Raw genomic sequence first — 19323 nt, forward strand, 5'->3', positions numbered from 1 at the left:
TGTCTCAAAAAAAAAAAAAAAAAAAAAGAGTCAGTAAAAAGTAAATCTCCTTTCCATAGATCTGAAGCCAGCTCCCATTGAAAGACCGTGTCTGAAAGAAGTTTCTGGTGTTTCCTTCCAGAGATATTCAATGCATATATAAGCACTTGGATGTACAGGCTTTCCTTTTGGTTTTTAAACAAATTGTCAACCAGGCATGGTGGCTCATGCCTGTAATCCCAGCATTTTGGGAGGCCGAGGTGGGCGGACCACTTGAGGTCAGGAGTTCAAGACCAGCCTGGCCAACATGTTGAAACCCCATCTCTGCTAAAAATGCAAAAATTAGCCAGGCATGGTGGTGGGCGCCTGTAATCCCAGCTACTCAGGAAGCTGAGGCATGAGAATCACTTGAACCCGGGAGGTGGAAGTTGCAGTGAGCCGAGATCATGCCACTGCATTCCAGCCCAGGCAACAGAACAAGACTCCAAGACTCCGTCTCAAAAAATAAACTAAACTAAACAAATTGTAACATTTTCCACAGTGTTCTGCACTTTTCTTTCTTTCTTTTTTTTTTTTTTTTATGAGACAGGGTCTTACCCTGTCATCCAGACTGGAATGCAGTGATCTTGCCTCACTGCAGCCACAACCTCCTGGGTTCAAGCAATCCTCCTGCCTCAGCCCCCCAAGTAGCTGGAACTATAGGCATGCACCACCACACCTGGCTAGTTATTTTTTTTTCTATTTTCTGTAGAGATGGGTTTTTGCCACATTGCCCAGGCTGGTCTTGAACTCCTGGGCTCATATGATCCTCCCGAAAGTGCTAGGGTTACAGGCATGAGCCACTGCACCTGGAATTTTTTTAAATCCTGGAAAATGGCTTATCCCAATACACATAGAGGTATCTCATTATTGTACATGATTCATAGTATCCCATCTGATGGACACAGTACAATTTTGAACAGTTCCCTAGCGTTGGACATTTTGGTGGCTTCCAATATTTTGCTATAGTGAATATTTTTGTGCATATACAATATCTCACCTATAGGAATGTATTTGCAGGATAATTTCCTGGAAGCACTAGAAGCGCAACTGCTGGGTCAAAGGGCAAGTGTATTTAAAATGTTCAAGGTTATTACCAAGTTGCCTTTCACATCAATTCACTGTTTATGTCATTTTATGATCATACAGAAGCTTTTTTTAAATTCAGAGAAAAATATAACACAGTCATTGTCTTTGATAATAAGAAACCAGCATTTATGAAGCATCTACTGTGTATCAGGAACTTTACACATATTGCCAAAAACACTCAGGACCCCTCTGAGGCACAATGAATTAAGTATTTTGTTCGAGGCACCCACAAAGGAGGTGGCAGAACCAGAAACCAAGCCACGGTCTGTCAGGATCCTCAGCTTGGGCCTGGGCTTGCTCCTTGTCATCATGCAGAAGCTGACACCCTGGTATGAGGAACTGGATTCCAGCATAACTCACAGTGATGTCACATGACAGGTGTCTGCATGGAGGCCTGAACCAAGAGCTGGAACACAGACCCAGAGAACAGGGCAGGTCGGGTGGCGGTGGGGTAGCTGAAGGGGCTTCACAGAGGCAAGAGCCTTGAAGGTGAGGCCTAAGGGTTGGAGGGAACAGATTTTGCTGGTGAAAAGTAGACAAGGCTGCTCAGGGGAAAGGGATCCACAAAGACATAGAGGCCTGAAAATCAACTGGGGAAAGAAGAGCTAGTGTGCACAGAGCAGAGGTTGGTCTGGGGCTGAGGCTGGAAAGGTGGGGTGCAGGCAGCGGGTGAAGAACCCCTTGCAGGCTGCTCTATGGAGCTTGGGCCTTCCAGCGGGAGGCTGCTCATCTGGGAGGCTGGACAGGGCACATGGCATGGGGTGGAGCTCAGACTCTGGAGCTAATCTTACCTCCACCCCTTCCTGGCTCTGTGCGCTGTCTCCTCCTCTGTGAAACAGAGAATCTAATTCATAACATTGTGGGAATTAAATGTGCTAAGACAAGTTTAAAAAATAAAAAACACTGGCTGGGCATGGTGGCTCACGCTTGTAATCCCAGCACTTTGGGAGGCCGAGATGGGCAGGACGGGTGCATCACGAGGTCAGGAGATGAAGACCATTCTGGCTAACACGGTGAAACCCCGTCTCTACTAAAAATACCCAAAAAATTAGCCAGGCGTGGTGGCAGGCACCTGTAGTCCCAGTTACTCAGGAGGCTGAGGCAGGAGAATGGCGTGAACCCGGGAGGCAGAGCTTGCAGTAAGCCGAGATTGCGCCACTGCACTCCAGCCTGGGCAACAGAGCGAGATTTCGTCTCAAAATAAGTAAATAAATAAATAACACCTGACACTTCACAAGCACTCAAGAAGTGGTAGCCATTTATTAGCCAACAATTGAATTGTTTTAAAAAGTTGTTTTTTTAAATGGATAACCTCTTTTTTTTAGGTTGTTAAAAAAAATCTTAGTTGGCAGAGCATTGGTTCCATTTGGCAGGAGATGACAGGAGGTGATATCATAACGGCCCAGTCCAAGCACCACTGACAAGGGTTTTGATCAGAGCGATGTCAGGTCCATCTCTGGGCAGCACAGCTGCCGAGACAGCTCTCAGTAGTTTATATGTGTTGCCAAACAATAATTGTCCTAAAGTGTTGAAATGCTGTTACGCAAATGCAGATTTTAGAAAGTTAGCATTTATTTAGCTCTTACTATTATAATTAAAGTATCTAATCCTCACACCAACCTTATTGGAGAAGTACTCTTATTATCCCCATTTTACAGATGACAAAACTGAGATCCAAAGAGAGCTTTAGGCCATCTTCCCAAGGCCACACAACTAGGGTCCACACCAGGCTTTGTGAGTCCAGAGCTTGTTCTCATCTCTTTTTTTGTTTTTTGGTTTTTGGTTTTTATTAGAGACAAAGTCTCACCCTGTTTCCCAGGCTGGAGTGCAGTGGCATGATCTTGGCTCACTGCAACCTCCGCCTCCTGGGTTCAAGTGATTCTCCTGCCTCAGCCTCCCAAGCAGCTGGGATTACAGGCGTGCACCACCATGCCTGGCTAATTTTTGTATTTTTAGTAAAGATGGGGTTTCACCATGATGGCCAAGCTGGTCTTGAACCCCTGACCTCAAGTGACCCTCCCACCTCGGCCTCCCAGAGTGCTGGGATTACAGGCGTGAGCACCCATGCCCAGTGCTCTCACCTCTTTTTGGATCTGCCTTTCCAGTGGGAAACTGAATCAAGAATCCAGTTGGTGGTGGTGGTGGTGTTGCCTTCCCAACACTGTGGTCTTTGAAGTTGAGTTGTCTAAACTCTCCAACCTCCTGAATCCTGAATAGCTCTGTTCTCAGACCAGAGGGGAGCAGAGAGACAGGGGTAGCCACACAAGTTTCCTAATCTGGGGCATGACAAGCTAAGCTGCATTTGTTATTTTATTATATATTTTAATTTTTTTGAGACAGGATCTTGCTCTGTTGCCCAGGTTGGAGTGCAGTGGTGTGATCATAGCTCACTGTAACCTCAAACTCCTGGGCTCAAGTGATTTCTCTGCCTCAGCCTCCCCAGTAGGTGGGATCACAGGTGCTATATATATATATACACACATATATATGTATATATGTGTATATGTGTATATCTATACATGTACGTATATGTGTATATCTATACACGTACGTATATGTGTATATCTATACATGTACGTATATGTGTATATCTATACTATATATGTGTATATGTGTGTATATATATATTTTTAAATATAATTTAGAGACAAGGTGTCACTATGTTGCCCAGGCCTGTCTCAAAAGATCCCCCCCACCTCAGCCTGTCAAAATGTTAGGATTTACAGGCATGAGCCACCACCCCAGGCCCATGCCTGGCTAATTTTAAAATTGTTTTGTAGAGACAGGGGTCTCACTATGTTGCATAGGCTGGTCTCAAACTGCTAGGTTCAAGTGATACTCCCACCTCAGCCTCTAGAGTAGCTGAGACTACAGACAGGAGCCACTATGCCCGGCTGAAGTTGTGTTTTAGAAAACAGCTCTGATGTAGCAAGGCGGAGGCCTGAGGGGTGAAGAGAGAGACAGCAAGCGTCCAGGAAGTGTGTGGGGGAGGTGTGGGCTGGCAGGGCTGTGGGCAGGGCCAGGAGAAACCCTGAGCCTAGCCATCTCCCAGGGATGCTCTGAAATCCTCCTAAGCCCTTGTCCTGCAGCAGGTACTTACCTGACTAAAATTATCAATAGCCACAAGTGGCTACTGAGCCCTTGAAATGTGAGTAGTCCAAATTGAGAAGGGCAAGAAACAAAAAACATCAGATTTCAAAGACTTAGTATCAAAAAAAGAATGTAAGGTGTCTGAATGATTTTTAGATTAATGGCATGTTGAAATGAGAACATTTTTGGATATATGGGGTTAGATTGAAATATTATTACAATTCAAGTCACCTGTTCCATTCTTTTTTTTTGAGACAGAGTTTTGCTCTTGTTGCCCAGGCTGGAGTGCCATGCGCCATCTCCGCTCACTGCAACCTCCGCCTCCCGGGTTCAAGCGATTCTCCTGCCTCAGCCTCCCGAGCAGCTGAGATTACAGGTGTCCACCACCATGCCCGTCTAATTCTTGTATTTTTAGCAGAGAAGGGGTTTCACCATGTTGGTCAGGCTGGTCTTGAACTCCTGACCTCAGGTGATCCAACCGCCTCTGCCTCCCAAAGTGCTGGGATTACAGCGTGAGCCAACGCGCCCGGCCCCTGTTTCATTATTTTTTTCTATGATTCTCTTTTTGAAATGGAGTCTCGCTCTGTTGCCCAGGCTGGAGTGCAGTGGTGCGATCTCGGCTCACTGCAACCTCCACCTCCCGAGTTCAAGCTATTCTCCTGCCTCGACCTCCCAAGTAGCTGGGACTATGGGCGTGCACCACCATGCCCGGCTAATTTTTGTATTTTTAGTAGAGGCGGAGTTTCACCATGTTGCCCCGGCCAGTCTCGAACTCCTGACCTCAAGTGATCCTTCGCCTCGGCCTCCCAAAGTGCTGGGATAACAGGCGTGAGCCACCGGGCCCAGCCTACTTTACTTTTTTTTGTTTTTTTAAGTGGCTACTAGAAAACTTGAAATTACGCATATGGCTCACGATGGACAGAGCCACACTTCCCTCCTGGGAACCTGTCTTCCTTCCCTTTCACAGAAGCTGGGTGCTCAGGGGCGAAGGCTCGGCATCAGAGGCGTCCTCCTGGGTCCAGGATCTTCTGGGTTCTCTCCTGCTGCGGAACCACAGCGCGGCTCCTGCAACCCACGGGCTCCGCTGTGCTCTGCCGCCCCCTAGCGGCGCCTCTTCCAATCAGCCCTCCCGCTCTTCAGCGACATCCCATCTTCGTTGATGTGACTGGGAGGGACTCTGTATCCTGAAGCACTTTGGGGTCCCAAGGCGTTCATTCCACTACCTACCATCCTGTGCTGATTTTAGCTGAAAGCCACTTAATACAAAGAATTTAAGGAAAAAATTAGAGTTTAAGGCATGTCCTCGTCCCAGGTCTCAATATAACGAAAATGTCTTAGGTATCTCTTCTCCGATTGTGGCTTCTGGTTGGTGAAGAGTTATCGATGATGTCTGGAAAGCAATATTGCGCCTACTCCATTAAACTCCAGGATGTTAATAAGTAATTTGATTTACGGGACTAGATGTTTGGTCTCGGAAGGCAGTTTCCTGATTTTGGTAAAACAGGTTAGTAGTATAGAGATCAGTTAAACTGTACCCTGAGGATTATGGGGCAATAATGTATATAAAGTATTTACAACAGTGCCTAGTACATTATGAACTCTCAACAAATGTAGCTATTGATAGATGAATTGATTTTTTAATATATATATAAACAAAAATCAGGCCAGATGTGGTGGCTCACACCTATAGTCACAGCACTTTGGGAAGCCGAGGCAGGCGGATCACCTGAGCTCAGGAGTTCTAGACCAGCCTGGCCAACATGACAAAACCCTGTCTCTACTAAAAATACAAAAATTAGCCAGGCATGGTGCACACCTGTAATCCCAGCTGCTCTGGAGGCTGAGGCAGGAGAGTTGCTTGAACCCGGGAGGCGGAGGTTGCAGTTAGCCGAGATCACACCACTGCACTCTAGCCTGGGTGACAGAGTGAGACTCTGTCTCAAAAATAAATAAATAAATAAATAGTATAAACAACAATTGTAGGTTTGGGGAGTGTTACTTGCCCCTGCATGCATGCTAGAGTCCTAGCTCAGAACCTTTTTCACAAGTAAACAAAGGGAGTTGAAAGAAACGAAATTTCCTTTTTTTTTTTTTTTGAGCTGGAGTCTCACTCCGTTGCCCAGGCTGGAGTGCAGTGGCACAATCTCAGCTCACTGCAACCTCTGCCTCCCAGGCTCAAGTGATTCTCCTGCCTCAGCCTCCTGAGTAGCTAGGATTACAGGTGTACACCACCACACCTGGCTAATTTTTGTATTTTTAGTAGAGACGGGGTTTCACCATGTTGGCCAGGCTGGTCTCGAACTCCTGACCTCAGGTGATCCACCCGCCTTGGCCTCCCAAAGTGCTGGGATTACAGGTGTGAGTCACCGTGCCTGGCCAGGAAGTAAATTTCAATGGGTCACTGGGCTGGGAAAACATCCCGCTGGTCAGGCTCTTCCTGGAAAATTACCCAGTGAGACCAAACCGAAGTCAACTCGGCCACCCTGGGCAAGGGGAGCGAGTGGGGAAGAGGTCATGGATCAACTCCACAGAGAACTCTGGATTTTCCAGAGTGCACGAAGACATTCCCAGGGTTGTGCGGAATGGAAATATAAATTCAAGAAGGAAATGAAACAATAAAAAATGTTCAACTGTTCAAGAAAAGCTTGTTTGTGTTCTTGTGTATTTTTTAAAGTGGATGATTATGGGTATCAAATCACTATGGCATTTATATTCCCATGGATACATTTTCATAAGTGACTAACTGCTTTAAAGTGTTGACATTAGAATGGTGCTGGAAATTGGCCGGGTGCGGTGGCTCACGCCTGTAATCCCAGCACTTTGGGAGCCTGAGACGGGCAGATCGTGAGGTCAGGAGGTCAAGACCATCCTAGCTAACATGGTGAAACCCCGCCTCTACTAAAATACAAATATTAGCCAGGCGTGGTGGCGGGTGCCTGTAGTCCTAGCTACTCGAGAGGCTGAGGCAGGAGAATAGCATGAACCCGGGAGGCGGAGCTTGCAGTGAGCCGAGATCTTGCCACTACACTCCAGCCTGGGTGACAGAGCAAGACTCCGTCTCAAAAAAAAAAAAAAAGAATAGTGCTGGAAATTATAGACTTTGCAAGTTTATTTAAACTTACAGTGAAAAGTTCTACCTATGTCAAGGTTCTACATAACTTTTTAAAATTTTATTTATTTATTTATTTTGAGATGGGGTCTCACTTTGCCACCCAAGCCAGAGTGCAGTGCTGCCAACTCGGCTCACTGCAACCTCCGGCTTTCAGGTTCAAGCGATTCTCCTGCCTCAGCCTCCTGAGTAGCTGGAATTACAGGCGCACGCCACCACGCCTGGCTAATTTTTGTACTTTTAGTAGAGATGGGGTTTCGCCATGTTGGCCAGGCTGGTCTAGAACTCCTGACCTCAAGTGATCCACCCACCTTGGCCTCCCCAAGTGCTGGAATTATAGGCATGAGCCACCACACCCTGCTCAAAGTTCTGCATATAACTTTAAACACACAAAAGAAAAACACATCCTTCAAATTCTTGGAGGTGGAATGTGAGCAACTCTGAATCCCAGGGCTCAGGCTGTATACCTGGGAGTGGTTCGTCTGGGTTGTAGGACTGCAGGATCAACATTCCTTAAGGATATACCAGACTCCACAAAGCAGCTGTGCTGCTGTATTTCCCCCCAGCAGGCTTGGCAAGATCCATTGTTCCACATCCCCATGAAGGGGTAAAAGACAACGCCAACCTGAAATATGCCAGATTGGTATACTGATTATTGCAAGAGGAAAACACTGGAGAAATTGTAGTTTCTGAAAGGCTGAGCTGACCTGTCTCTTGCTACATGAAGCAAGCAATAAAGATTCCTCTGGGAGGAGTCCCTTCTCCACACCAGACAGAGAAAATAACACTTATCAACGGAGACTGGGAATTGGAAGTCACCATGGACCTGAATAAACATACTTAACAGTAACCCTTATCTTCCACTTGGTTCACAGCTCACCACTACCATGTATCTCCTAGTGACTTCCCTAGAAAATCTACTGCCCCATAGCCAGATTTTCTTGGTGCTGTCATTTCTTCTCAAATGTATCACTCTATCTAAAAAGTATAAAAGTTTCTTGCTTTGGCCACTTCTTCATGCTTCACCCTCTTACGAAGATCCCCATATACATGTAAAATTAATGAAATTTGTATACTTTTCTCTTGTTAATCTGCCTGTTGTTGATTTCGTTTCTAGATCCAGCGGAAGAGCTCACTAAGAGCTAAAAGAAGGGGTTACAGGTGATCTCTGGCTCCCCAACACTCCCCAAGTTGATGACTGGGTGGGGTCTTGCAGCATTCCTGAGGCAAACACATCCATCATCTCTCCAGGGAAGTCCAAACTAAGCAGAGGTTACTTGGAGCCAGGACCTCAGACTCCCAAGCCTGGTGAGTCAGGTTTTGGGGTTTTTGTATGTGTGTGTCTTGCTTTTTGTTTTTTTTTTTTTTAGAGACAGGGTCTTGCTCTGTTGCCCAGGCTGAAGTGCAGTGGTACAACCTTGGCTCACTGCATCCTCAAACTCCTGGGCTCAAGCAATCTCCCCACCTCAGCCTCCTGAGCAGCTGGGACTACAGGCATGGGCCACCATGCCTGACTAATTTTTATTATTATTATTATTTTTAGATATACGATCTCACTATGTTGCCCAGGCTAGTCTTGAACTCCTGGCCTCAAGCCATCCTCCTGCCTTGACCTCCCAAAGTTCTGGGATTATAGGTGTGAGCCACCGTGCCTGGCCAAGAGTCAAGGTCTGAACTAGATTGGATGGTTCTAATAGCTTCTCTTTACGAAAGCCCTCAGCACTCACCCCTAAGTTAAAGCTCTCTCTTCCCTGTCATACCTGGTTCCTGTCCCTCCCTGGTCAGCTTGGCTGCATGCCAGTCCTTGGCTCTTCCCCTCCCCACTTGCCTCCAAGCTAACCAGCTGCCTGTTCACACAGCCTTATTCTGGGTAGGAAGCTGGGAAGTTGGTAGCATTGGCTTGTTAGCCTCTTGTTCCTGTCCTCCAGCTACTTAAGTGGAGTCACACAGTATATTCAGACCCATATGTGTGGATTTCACTAGTCAAATCCTGGGAAGCCAGTCTCCTGCCTGTTGTTTCTGTGGGGCATGCCCACCCCCCGCTATGTATTGTTCTCCATGCTCAGGCCTTTGAATGGAGTTTGAATGGGGTTACCAATGGTGTCCACTTGGCTGGGGGCCAGGTTTGTAATGGCGGTAGGATGCGGAGAGCAGCAGCCCCAACCCTTTCTGGGAAACAAATTGACCACGTTGCTGTAGTTGGTTGTTATGACCACCAGAGTGCGCAGTATGCACAGTTTTGGGAGAGCCAGTTAAGAAGGGTGGCATTTTAAACCTAAAATTAAGTGATAGCAAAGACGGAACTTATGATGAAAAAAAAATGAAAATAAAATTAAACTAGATAAACCTACTGCCTCTGGGTATTCCAGCTGTGTTCCCTGTCTTCAACCTGGGCTCAGTAACAGCGCTTCAAGAAGGGTCCAGCTGGTCTTTCTTACCTGGCTGACCACTGAAACTGCCCTCCCGCTCCTGGCCCTTTTTGGCCCTGGGAAGGCCCTTGCAGCTGCTCCTGGGCCCCATCTCTCTAGAACAGATGCTGGTCCCATGCCCCTGCATGACGCCTGATGGGGCTGGGACATCCTTGGCCTTTCTGTTCCAGCAGTCTGATCTGTGGCCGACTTCTTCCCACATTTTTCCTTTGAAGGAGCTTTCTCTGTCCTCTACGTTGTGGTAGTGTGGTCCTTTTGCCTGTAACGAAATAGTGCCTGCTCTGTGTAAGAATGAAAGGCACTGGTGTCTTGTGGTCTTCCCCTAAGAGCAGAGATATGAGCCACGTGTTCGTGTTGGGTAGGACTTGTTGAAACTGACTCACTAAACAAAAACACTGAAGATTAATGTAAACCTAAATGCCAAATTGTTTGTCTGCATTAAAAGCAATGACGGCCGGGCGCGGTGGCTCACGCCTATAATCCCAGCACTTTGGGAGGCCGAGGCGGGTGGATCATGAGGTCAGGAAATCGAGACCATCCTGGCTAACACGGTGAAACCCCGTCTCTACTAAAAATACAAAAAAAATTTAGCCGGGCGTGGAGGCGGGCGCCTATAGTCCTAGCTACTCGGGAGGCTGAGGCAGGAGAATGGCGTGAACCCGGGAGGCGGAGCTTGCAGTGAGCCGAGATCGCGCCACTGCACTCCAGCCTGGGCAACAGAGCGAGACTCCGTCTCAAAAAAAAAAAAAAAAAAAAAAAAGCAATGCTAACCCATTCCATCTAACAAGGATTTTCCATGTGCTAAGCACTAAGCTAAATGCTTTACAGATACCATTTAATTCAATCATAGAAATTCTATGAAATTAATGATAATTCCTCCATGTTATGGATGAAGACTCTTAGACTCAGAAAGGTTAAGTGACTTGCCTGAGATCACAAAGCTTGTAAGTGGCAGTACTGGGATAGGAAATAGACTGAGCTGGCTTCCAGTTTGCCCTCTGTCTGCCTCCACCTGAGCTGCCCACTCCCTTTCCACCCTCCAGGCATGGCGCCAGCGTCCCTCGCCGCCGGGTGTATTGTGGTGCCCCCATTTGTGTGATATTGCAGGTGCACATTGACTCCTCACAGTGGGTATCGACACCTAGGGAGAGATCTGGAAACTTGTGCCCCCGTAGTTTACACTGCCTTACCAGAACAGTGTCATTTTTATTTTCCTGGGTCTTTTTTCTTTTTTCCAAAAGGAGTCTCGCTCTGTCGCCCAGACTGGAATGCAGTGGCGCGATCTCAGCTCGCTGCAACCTCCACCTCCTGGGTTCGAGTGATTCTCCTGCCTCAGCCTCCTGAATAGCTGGGATTACAGGCACGCACCACCACTTCCAACTAATTTTTGTTAGAGACGAGGTTTCACCATGTTGGCCAGGCTGGTCTCAAACTCTTGACCTCAAGTGATCTGCCTGCCTTGGCCTCCCAAAGTGCTGGGATTACAGGCGTGAGCCACCATCTCCAGGCTTTCCTGGGTCATTTTTATTTCCTTCTTTGTTCTTTTCAATATTTTTAAATGAAAGCATTTTATTGTTTAAATCAGGAAACTATTTTCATAATTCAGGGGTGTTCTCTTGCTCCCAAAGTGTTCAACCCATTTACGCTGCCTGGTGCATCCACTACTCTGGTAAACAACTGAGCCTCTTGTAAGCCTCCACTGAAGAACTGAAACTCTGTGACATCTTTTCCAACACCCTGCCTTCCCCAACGCCTTCTCACTGTAATGCCCCTTATGATGCCTATCACACTCATTTATCTGTATCCCCACTCCCAGCTCTGAGCTCCTGGAAGGCAGCAGCGGAGTCAGATTCTTCAGTGACACTAGGATCTGGCATCGGCACTGGTTCCAAGCAAGAATAACTAATGCCAATTGAATACACTGCATCCCGGATGCTTTACTATGTGCTAAGCACTTTGCCTGTATTAATTCATTTACTCTTACAACTATTCCAGGGTGTGGGTTTACTATTATTTTCATCACATTTTACAGATGAAGTAACTGATGCACAGATAACACACCTGAGGTCGCCTAGCTGGTAACTATAGAAACCCAGACCAGGAATGCGAGACCAGGCTGTCGGGCTCAAACATACGCCACACTGAAGAGGTGCTTGGTAATGCTTTGCTAAATGAAAAAACCTAGAGTTTCTCCAAAGTATCATTCAATCTGAAAAGTGTTTTGAATACAGCTGGGAGCAGTGGCCACACCTGTAATCACAACTATTTGGGAGGCTGAGTGAGGTGTGAGGATGGCGTGAGGCCAGGAGTTTGGGAGCAGCCTGGGCAACATAGCAAAACCCTGTCTCTAAAATAAATAAATAAATAAATAAAATTGATCAGGGGGAGTGCCTTGAATAGTCCCAAAGGCAGGAAATTACGCTTATTTTTTTGTGTGTCTTTTTTTTTTTTTTCTTCCTTTTTGTGAAGAACAGGGTCTTGCTATATTGCCCAGGCAGGTCTCGAACTCCTGGGCTCAAGCTATCCTCCTGCCTCTGCCTCCCTGAGATCTGGGATTACAGGCGTGAGCCACCGCGCCCAGCTTCAAAGGCAGGAATTTAAATCCACATCCCAGCCCACTGTGCGGATCCAGTGGCCACACAGCCAGTTTATTCAGGAAAACCTGAACAAAGTTAAGTGGTTGCACTCACTGAGTTCACCTCTCCTCATTTACTAAACCATTTGGACCTCAGTTTATAGAAGAGAAAGAACACGTATATGTGGGTGAGGGGCTGTGGTGGTCTCACTTCCCTGGCTCCAGGCCTCCAGGCCTCCAGGAGCAATCCTGAACTTCCCTTAATCTGCCTCTTCCATCCTTATAAAGCTGATCTTCTAGGTCAGGGTGGGGTCCCAGGAACTCACCTGACTATGAAACTTAACTGTGAGTTTGCTATCAACTGTCTCTAAAAAAGAAAAAGAAAAAGGAATTGCCAGTCACCCCAGCCTTCAACAACCACCACCCTGATCAGTCAGCAGCCATCAACATCAAGGCAAGATCTTCCACCAGCAAAAAGATTATGACTCACTGAAAGCTCAGATGATCATTGGCATTTTTTATCAATAAAGTATTTTTAATTAAGATATGTACATTTTGGTTTTAGACATAATGCTATTGCACACTTAATAGACTACAGTTAAGTGTGCAATGGTGCAAATATAACTTTTACATGCACTATAGTGTAAATATAACTTTGATATGCACTGGGAAACAAAACAAATTCATGTGACTCACTTTGTTGGGATGTGTCTGGAGCCAAACCTGCAACGTCTCTGAGGTATACCTGTAATTCTAAATGTTCTAGTAGCAAAAAGCAAAAAGAAATAGATGAACTTAATTGTAATAACATTTTATTTAACCCTATATATAAAGTGTTATTGTTTCAACATGTAATCAATATAAAATATTAATGAGACATTATATTCCTTTTTGTATTTCCAAATCTGGTGTGTATTTTATGCTTACAGCATTTTTCCATCCAGACTAGCCATTTTTATGTGCTCAAAAGCCCCATGAGGTCAGTGCCTATGGTATAAGATAATACAAATGTATAGTCTGAATAAGAGACTCTGAGTTTTTTTTTTTTTTTTTTTTTTCCTGAGACGGAGTCTTGCTCTGTCGCCCAGGCTGTAGTGCAGTGGCGCCATCTCGGCTCACTGCAACCTCCGCCTCCCAGGTTCAAGCAATTCTCCTGCCTCAGCCTCCCGAGTAGCTGAGATTACAGGTGTGTGCCACCACACTCGGCTAATTTTGTATTTTTAGTAGAGATGGGGTTTCACCATGTTGGCCAGGCTGGCCTTGAACTCCTGACCTCTGGTGATCCATCCACCTCAGCCTCCCAAAGTGCTGGGATTACAGGCGTGAGCCACAGCTCCTGGCCTGAGACTCTGAGTTTTCTATCATAGATCACATTGTAGATGAAAAGTTTTTTTTTTAAAAAAAAGAGACTCTGAGTTTTCAGAAGAAAGGATTATGCCATTTTGTGTTGTAGGAAAAGACATCCCCATTGTTTCACAAGTGGTCGCATGATCAGAAATCCATATATGTTCGTGTCTCCTTACATTTTTTTTCTTTTTTCTTTGTTTTCATTTCACAAGTAACACATGCATATATATATTTTTTTCTTTTTTGTTTTTTGAGACAGAGTCTCGCTCTGTCACCCAGGCTGGAGTGCAGAGGCACGATCTGGGCTCACTGCAACCTCCACCTCCCAGGTTCAAGCCATCCTCCCACCTCAGCCTCCTGAGTAGCTAGGACTACAGACCCACACGCCCAGCTAATTTTTGTATCTTTTTGTAGAGATGGAGTTTTGCCCAGGCCCGTCTCGAACTCCTGAGTTCAAGCAATCTGCCCACCTCAGCCTCCCCAAGTGCAGGGATTAAAGGCGTGAGCCACTGCACCCAGCCAATATATTTTAAGAAAAGTCAAGCCATAAATTGCTCCTTAACCTCCCCTAATACTGCTGCATTCCCCAGAGGTAACCTTAGTTCTCTATCAGTTGAGTATAAATCCTTCCATACATTTACATGCATAGATATGTTTTATTATATTTTACATAAATATTATAGAGTAATATTTTTCTGCATCTTGCTTTTTTTCACATAGCAGAATTACTTAATGCTTTTTCCATGCAAGTACACAGATCTATTTCTTTTTTTTTAGTGATTACATAATATTCCATAACCATTTTCCTACTTCAGGGCTTTTTGGCTGTTTATAATTTATTTTTTCACTATTACTAATAATGTTCTAATAAGCATTCTTGTAATCACCCCATGTACATTGTGTGAGTCTTTTTCTGCAGTAGATAAAAAGAAATGTATTTTCTGGGCCAAAGGGAATCTACATCTTCAATTTTAGTGGATACTGCCAAGCTGCCCTCCAAAAAGGAAGTACCAATTCACACCTCACCTACAGAGTGAGGATGTTTGTTTTATCACACTCTTCCATACACTGAATCTTATTTTTATTTTAAGTAGGGGTATTCAGAAGTGTGAGTCTTTTAAGCAATGATACAAAAGCAATAAAAAAAAAGATCTGTTCAAATTTATTTGACAGCATTCTTCTATGAATATGCAGACTCAATTTGAGACCCAGAGTGAGTCACTGATCAATTTTAAACAAAACACTGAGAATCCAATGACATCATTGTGTCTCTCTGGGGGTGTCAGACTCTAAAGTAAGTGACAACTGAATATAGTCGCTATTGCCCTAGAACAGCAATCCCTTAACAGGTGCCATAATGGAGACCCATGTACCCTCTCTCTGTGAACAGTAGAAGCTCCTCTGTCTTCCCACCTCCCTCTGAGCCACTCTGGAGCAGTGAGGCAGGCACACCCACCCCTATTCCCACGACTTCAATTCTCTTTCTTTGCCAAGCTCATCGAGTGGGATTCAGGTAAGTTTTTCTCTCTTTCTTTCCTTTTTTTTTTTTTCCTGAGACAGAGTCTCACTCTGTTGCCCAGGCTGGAGTGCAGTGGCGCAATCATGGCTCACTGCAAACTCCACCTCCTGCGCTCAAATGAGTCTCGTGCCTCAGCCTCCTGAGTAGCTGGGACTATAGGCCTGCCATCATGCCTGACTAATTTTTGTATTTTTAGTAGAGACGGGGGTCTCACCATGTTGGCCAGGCTGGTCTCAAACTCCTGGCCTCAAGTGATCTGCCTGCCTTGGCCTCCCGAAGTGCTGGGATTACAGGCGTGAGCCACCATGCCCAGCCTTTGGATTCAGGTAAATTCAATGCTTTCTATGAGGTTCTACTGTTTTCAAACTGTTCCCAGAAACTGTGGGCTGTATTCATTTGACCAGGGCAAATCTCACCTTTGGTTTTCAGGAATTTCAGGAAAGTACCTTTGTGACGCTCAGAGGGCCCCTGCATGGCCCAAGTGTGGCCACAAAGCCATATTTTTCTCAGACACACACAGTCCTCTCTTCACAATCCCAGGGAGAATTCTGTGACTCTGTGGGCTGAACAGATAAAGCCTTGCTTTCATTTTGGATACCCAGGGAGAGATTAAGGCACTCTCACTGTCCTTGCTCTTAATTACAACTCAGTGTATCACAACTACTATTGTTTTCATAGCATTATTTTGAGTACTATATTGCCTTTTTCTTATAATAGTCTTAGACAAAGGAAGGGCAGTATGATCAAGACAAAGGCTTCCTTCATGGACTTTCTCCTGGGACTAGGGGGTGACACTCAGGCAGGCAGCCTCCTGGCATCCCTGGGGAAGGGCAGCAGATGAGCTACCACATCATCAAGAAGCATTTACCTCAGAGAACTTGCCACTGTCTGATCCTCAGCTTTGAGCCTCCAGAATTTGGTTTTCTGAACATCCCAAATAAGATACAGCATGTGCAGGCAAATTCATATTAGTTCCACGCTACGAGTAACTATCTAAAAACCAGAATCCATGCATTGATTTGTTTGCTCTTCAAACTTTGACTGACACTGGGCCTGAGCCTGTCCAGATCCAAGCTCTGAATAGAATGAATAAAATAGGCTCAGTCCAGGCTCTTACAGAACCTACAGTCTACTGAGAGAAACACATAGACCATTCCAACCCAGTGAGCTGAGTGTCACAGGAGGGGATGCACAGAACGCTATCAAAGCAATGAGAGGAGGCAAAACCCTGAAGAAGTGGTGTATTTAACATGCGGGCAGCAGGGAAGGGAAAGAGTCAGTATGAAGTGAGATTACCATGGGCAACGGGGAGAATGATTGCTAGAGCAAGGTCTTAAGGAAACAGAACTAAACTGGGACCAGAACACAATGGGAAGGCTGGCCTTGGGAAGAAAGAGGGTCTCTTTCCTAAGCCAGGAAGGAAGGAGGAAAGGATAGCCAGGGACACATGGGATTATAGGATGGGCGGGAGGCAGTTTCTGGTTGTGCAATCTATTAGGGGGGCAAGGGACTAGGAGGGAGGTTGACTATTGAAAGTGAGGAGGAGGTTCTGGGGTTCTAGCTTTGTCAAAGATTATAATAGGGACCGTGGGAGAATGTGAGGCATATGGGAATGAAAAATAGAAGCGATTCACTGAGAGGGTCTAGGAGCCTGCTGTGATTTTACTCTGATCCCAGCACGCAAGGCCAGGTGCTCTCCCTCAGCGCCCACATCTCTAGTGAATCCATAGGCAGGTGGATTTACCAGGCTCATGTTTTCAGCAACCTGGCCCCACTCTATAGACAGACCAAGGAGTTGGATGAAGAGGCACATGAAGAGCAGAGAGAGATAACAGATGGATGGGGGGTGGGGGGGGGAAGAAAAACAACTTATTCCTAGGTTCCTCATCTTGGTAAGGATTGTCGCCAAGCATTCACAACTGAAGTCAGAAACTAGGGCTTCTGCTGGGCACAGTGCTTCACGCCTGTAATCCCAGCACTTTGGGAGGCCGAGGTGGGTGGATCATCTGAGGTCAGGAGTTCGAGACCAGCCTGGCCAACATGGTGAGACCCTGTCTCTACTAAAAACACAAAAATTAGCCAGTGGTGGTGCATGCCTGTAATCCCAGCTACTCGGGAGGTTGAGGCAGGAGAATCGCTTGAACCCAGGAGGCAGAGGTTGCAGTGAGCCGAGATTGCGCTACTGCACTCTAGCCTGGACAACAAAGGGAAACTTTGTCTCAAAAAAAAAAAAAAAGATAGATCCACAGCTACCATCTCTTTGGTTCTTTGGTTCATCCACTTCTTTTCCTTTCTTTTCTTTTTTTTTCTTTGAGACGGGGTCTCGCTCTGTCACCCAGACTGGAGGGCAGTGGCTTTGACCATGGCTTACTGCAATTCCACCTCTCGGGTTCAAGTGACTCTCATGCCTCAGCCTCCCAAGTAGCTGGGATTACAGGCGTGCACCACCACACTAGGCTAATTTTTGTATTTTTAGTAGAGATGGGGTTTCACTATGCTGGCCAGGCTGGTCTCAAACTCACGACCTCAGGTGATCCACCTGCCTCGGCCTCCCAAAGTGCTGGGATTACAGGCATGAGCCACCGCGCCCATCCACTTTTTGTCATCTTCCCTGGTCCCTCTGCTCAGCAACCACAGAACTCTGTTAATTCCGTGATTATAGGACAGGTCACTTTACATCAGAGTTGTTTTAGAGCTGGAGTTAAACACTCCAATGGCTTCTAGGACCAGAAAATAACTGAGTGGTGCTGCCAGGGAGTGTGGCACCTTGGAAAGACTCTTTTTGTGTAACAGGAAAGGAGAGCACTGCCCATGAAGAAATGTGGGTTCACTATTTTGCTAGATATTTCTATATCCTTAAGAAAAACCTAAAATAGTTTTAGAGAGAAATACCCTGACTTTTAAATGAAGAAAACTATTCAAACTTAAAATAAAACTGTTGGCTGGGTGCGGTGGCTCACGCCTGTAATCCCAGCACTTTTGGAGGCCGAGGTGGGCGGATCACAAGGTTAGGAGTTCAAGACAAGCCTGGCCAACATAGTGAAACCCTATCTCTACTAAAAATATGAAAATTAGCTGGACATGGCGGTGCTTGCCTGTAGTCCCAGCTACTCAGGAGGCTGAGGCAGGAGAATCGCTTGAACCCGGGAGGTGGAGGTTACGGTGAGCGGCGATCGCACCACTGCACTCCAGCTTAGGCAACAGAGTAAGACTTCGTCTCAAAAATAAATAAATAAATAAAATAAAACTGTTATTGAAGTGTTTAGGGGTAAAGTTTACCAATGTCTGCAACTTACTTTGAAATGCCTCAAAAGATGTATTGGTGGGTGGCTACAGGGATGAGTAGATCCACGATAAAGCAACAGCAAAATATTAATTGTAGCATCATTCTCAATTCCCCCTCAGCTTGGTGATGCATACACGTACAGTTTTTTCAACTGTTCTGTAAGCTTCATTAAAAAATGAAGGGACATTTTTAATTTTTTATTTTTTTTAGACTGAGTCTCACTCTGTTGCCCGGGCTGAGTGCAGTGGCACAATCACGGCTCACTGCAGCCTAGACCTCCTGTACTCAAGCAATCCTCTCACATCTCCCTCCAGAGTAGCTGGGACTACAGGCACACACCACCACACCTGGATAATTTTCTTTTTTCACTTTTCATAGAGATGAGGGTGTCTCATTCTGTTGCCCAGACTGGTCTCAAACTTCTGGCCTCAAGCTATCCACTTGCCTTGGCCTCCCAAAGTGCTAAGATTACAGGCCTGAGCCACTGCACCTGGCTAGAATTTTTTTTAATTGAAAAAGAAGGCCAGGCACGGTGGCTCATGCCTGTAATCCCAGCACTCTGGGAGGCTAAGGCAGGTGGATCACTTGAGGTCAGGAGTTCAAGACCAGCCTGGCCAACATAGTGAAACTTCATCTCTACTAAAAATACAAAAATTAGCTGGGTGTGGTGGTGTGCACCTGTAATCCCAGCTACTCAGGAGGCCAAGGCAGAAGAATCACTTGAACCTGGGAAGTGGAGGTTGCAGGGAGCTGAGATCGTACTACTGCACTCCAGCTTGGGCAACCGGAGAGAAAAGAAAGAAAGGAGAGAAAGAGAGAGAGAAAGAGAGAGGAAGGAAGGAAGGAAGGAAGGAAGGGCGG

General features: G+C 46.0%; 1 annotated feature.

Moving 5' to 3' along the window:
- Positions 1812–2460: an enhancer, noted in NCBI's record as "H3K27ac-H3K4me1 hESC enhancer chr11:75092225-75092873 (GRCh37/hg19 assembly coordinates)". NCBI's record gives its function as "activates a minimal SCP1, AML or CMV promoter by ChIP-STARR-seq in naive H9 embryonic stem cells {active_cell/tissue: H9 hESC(naive)}" and the evidence as "EXISTENCE:reporter gene assay evidence [ECO:0000049][PMID:30033119]".

The sequence above is a fragment of the Homo sapiens genome, chromosome 11, assembly GCF_000001405.40.
Source record: "Homo sapiens chromosome 11, GRCh38.p14 Primary Assembly".
Taxonomy (NCBI): Eukaryota; Metazoa; Chordata; class Mammalia; order Primates; family Hominidae; genus Homo; species Homo sapiens.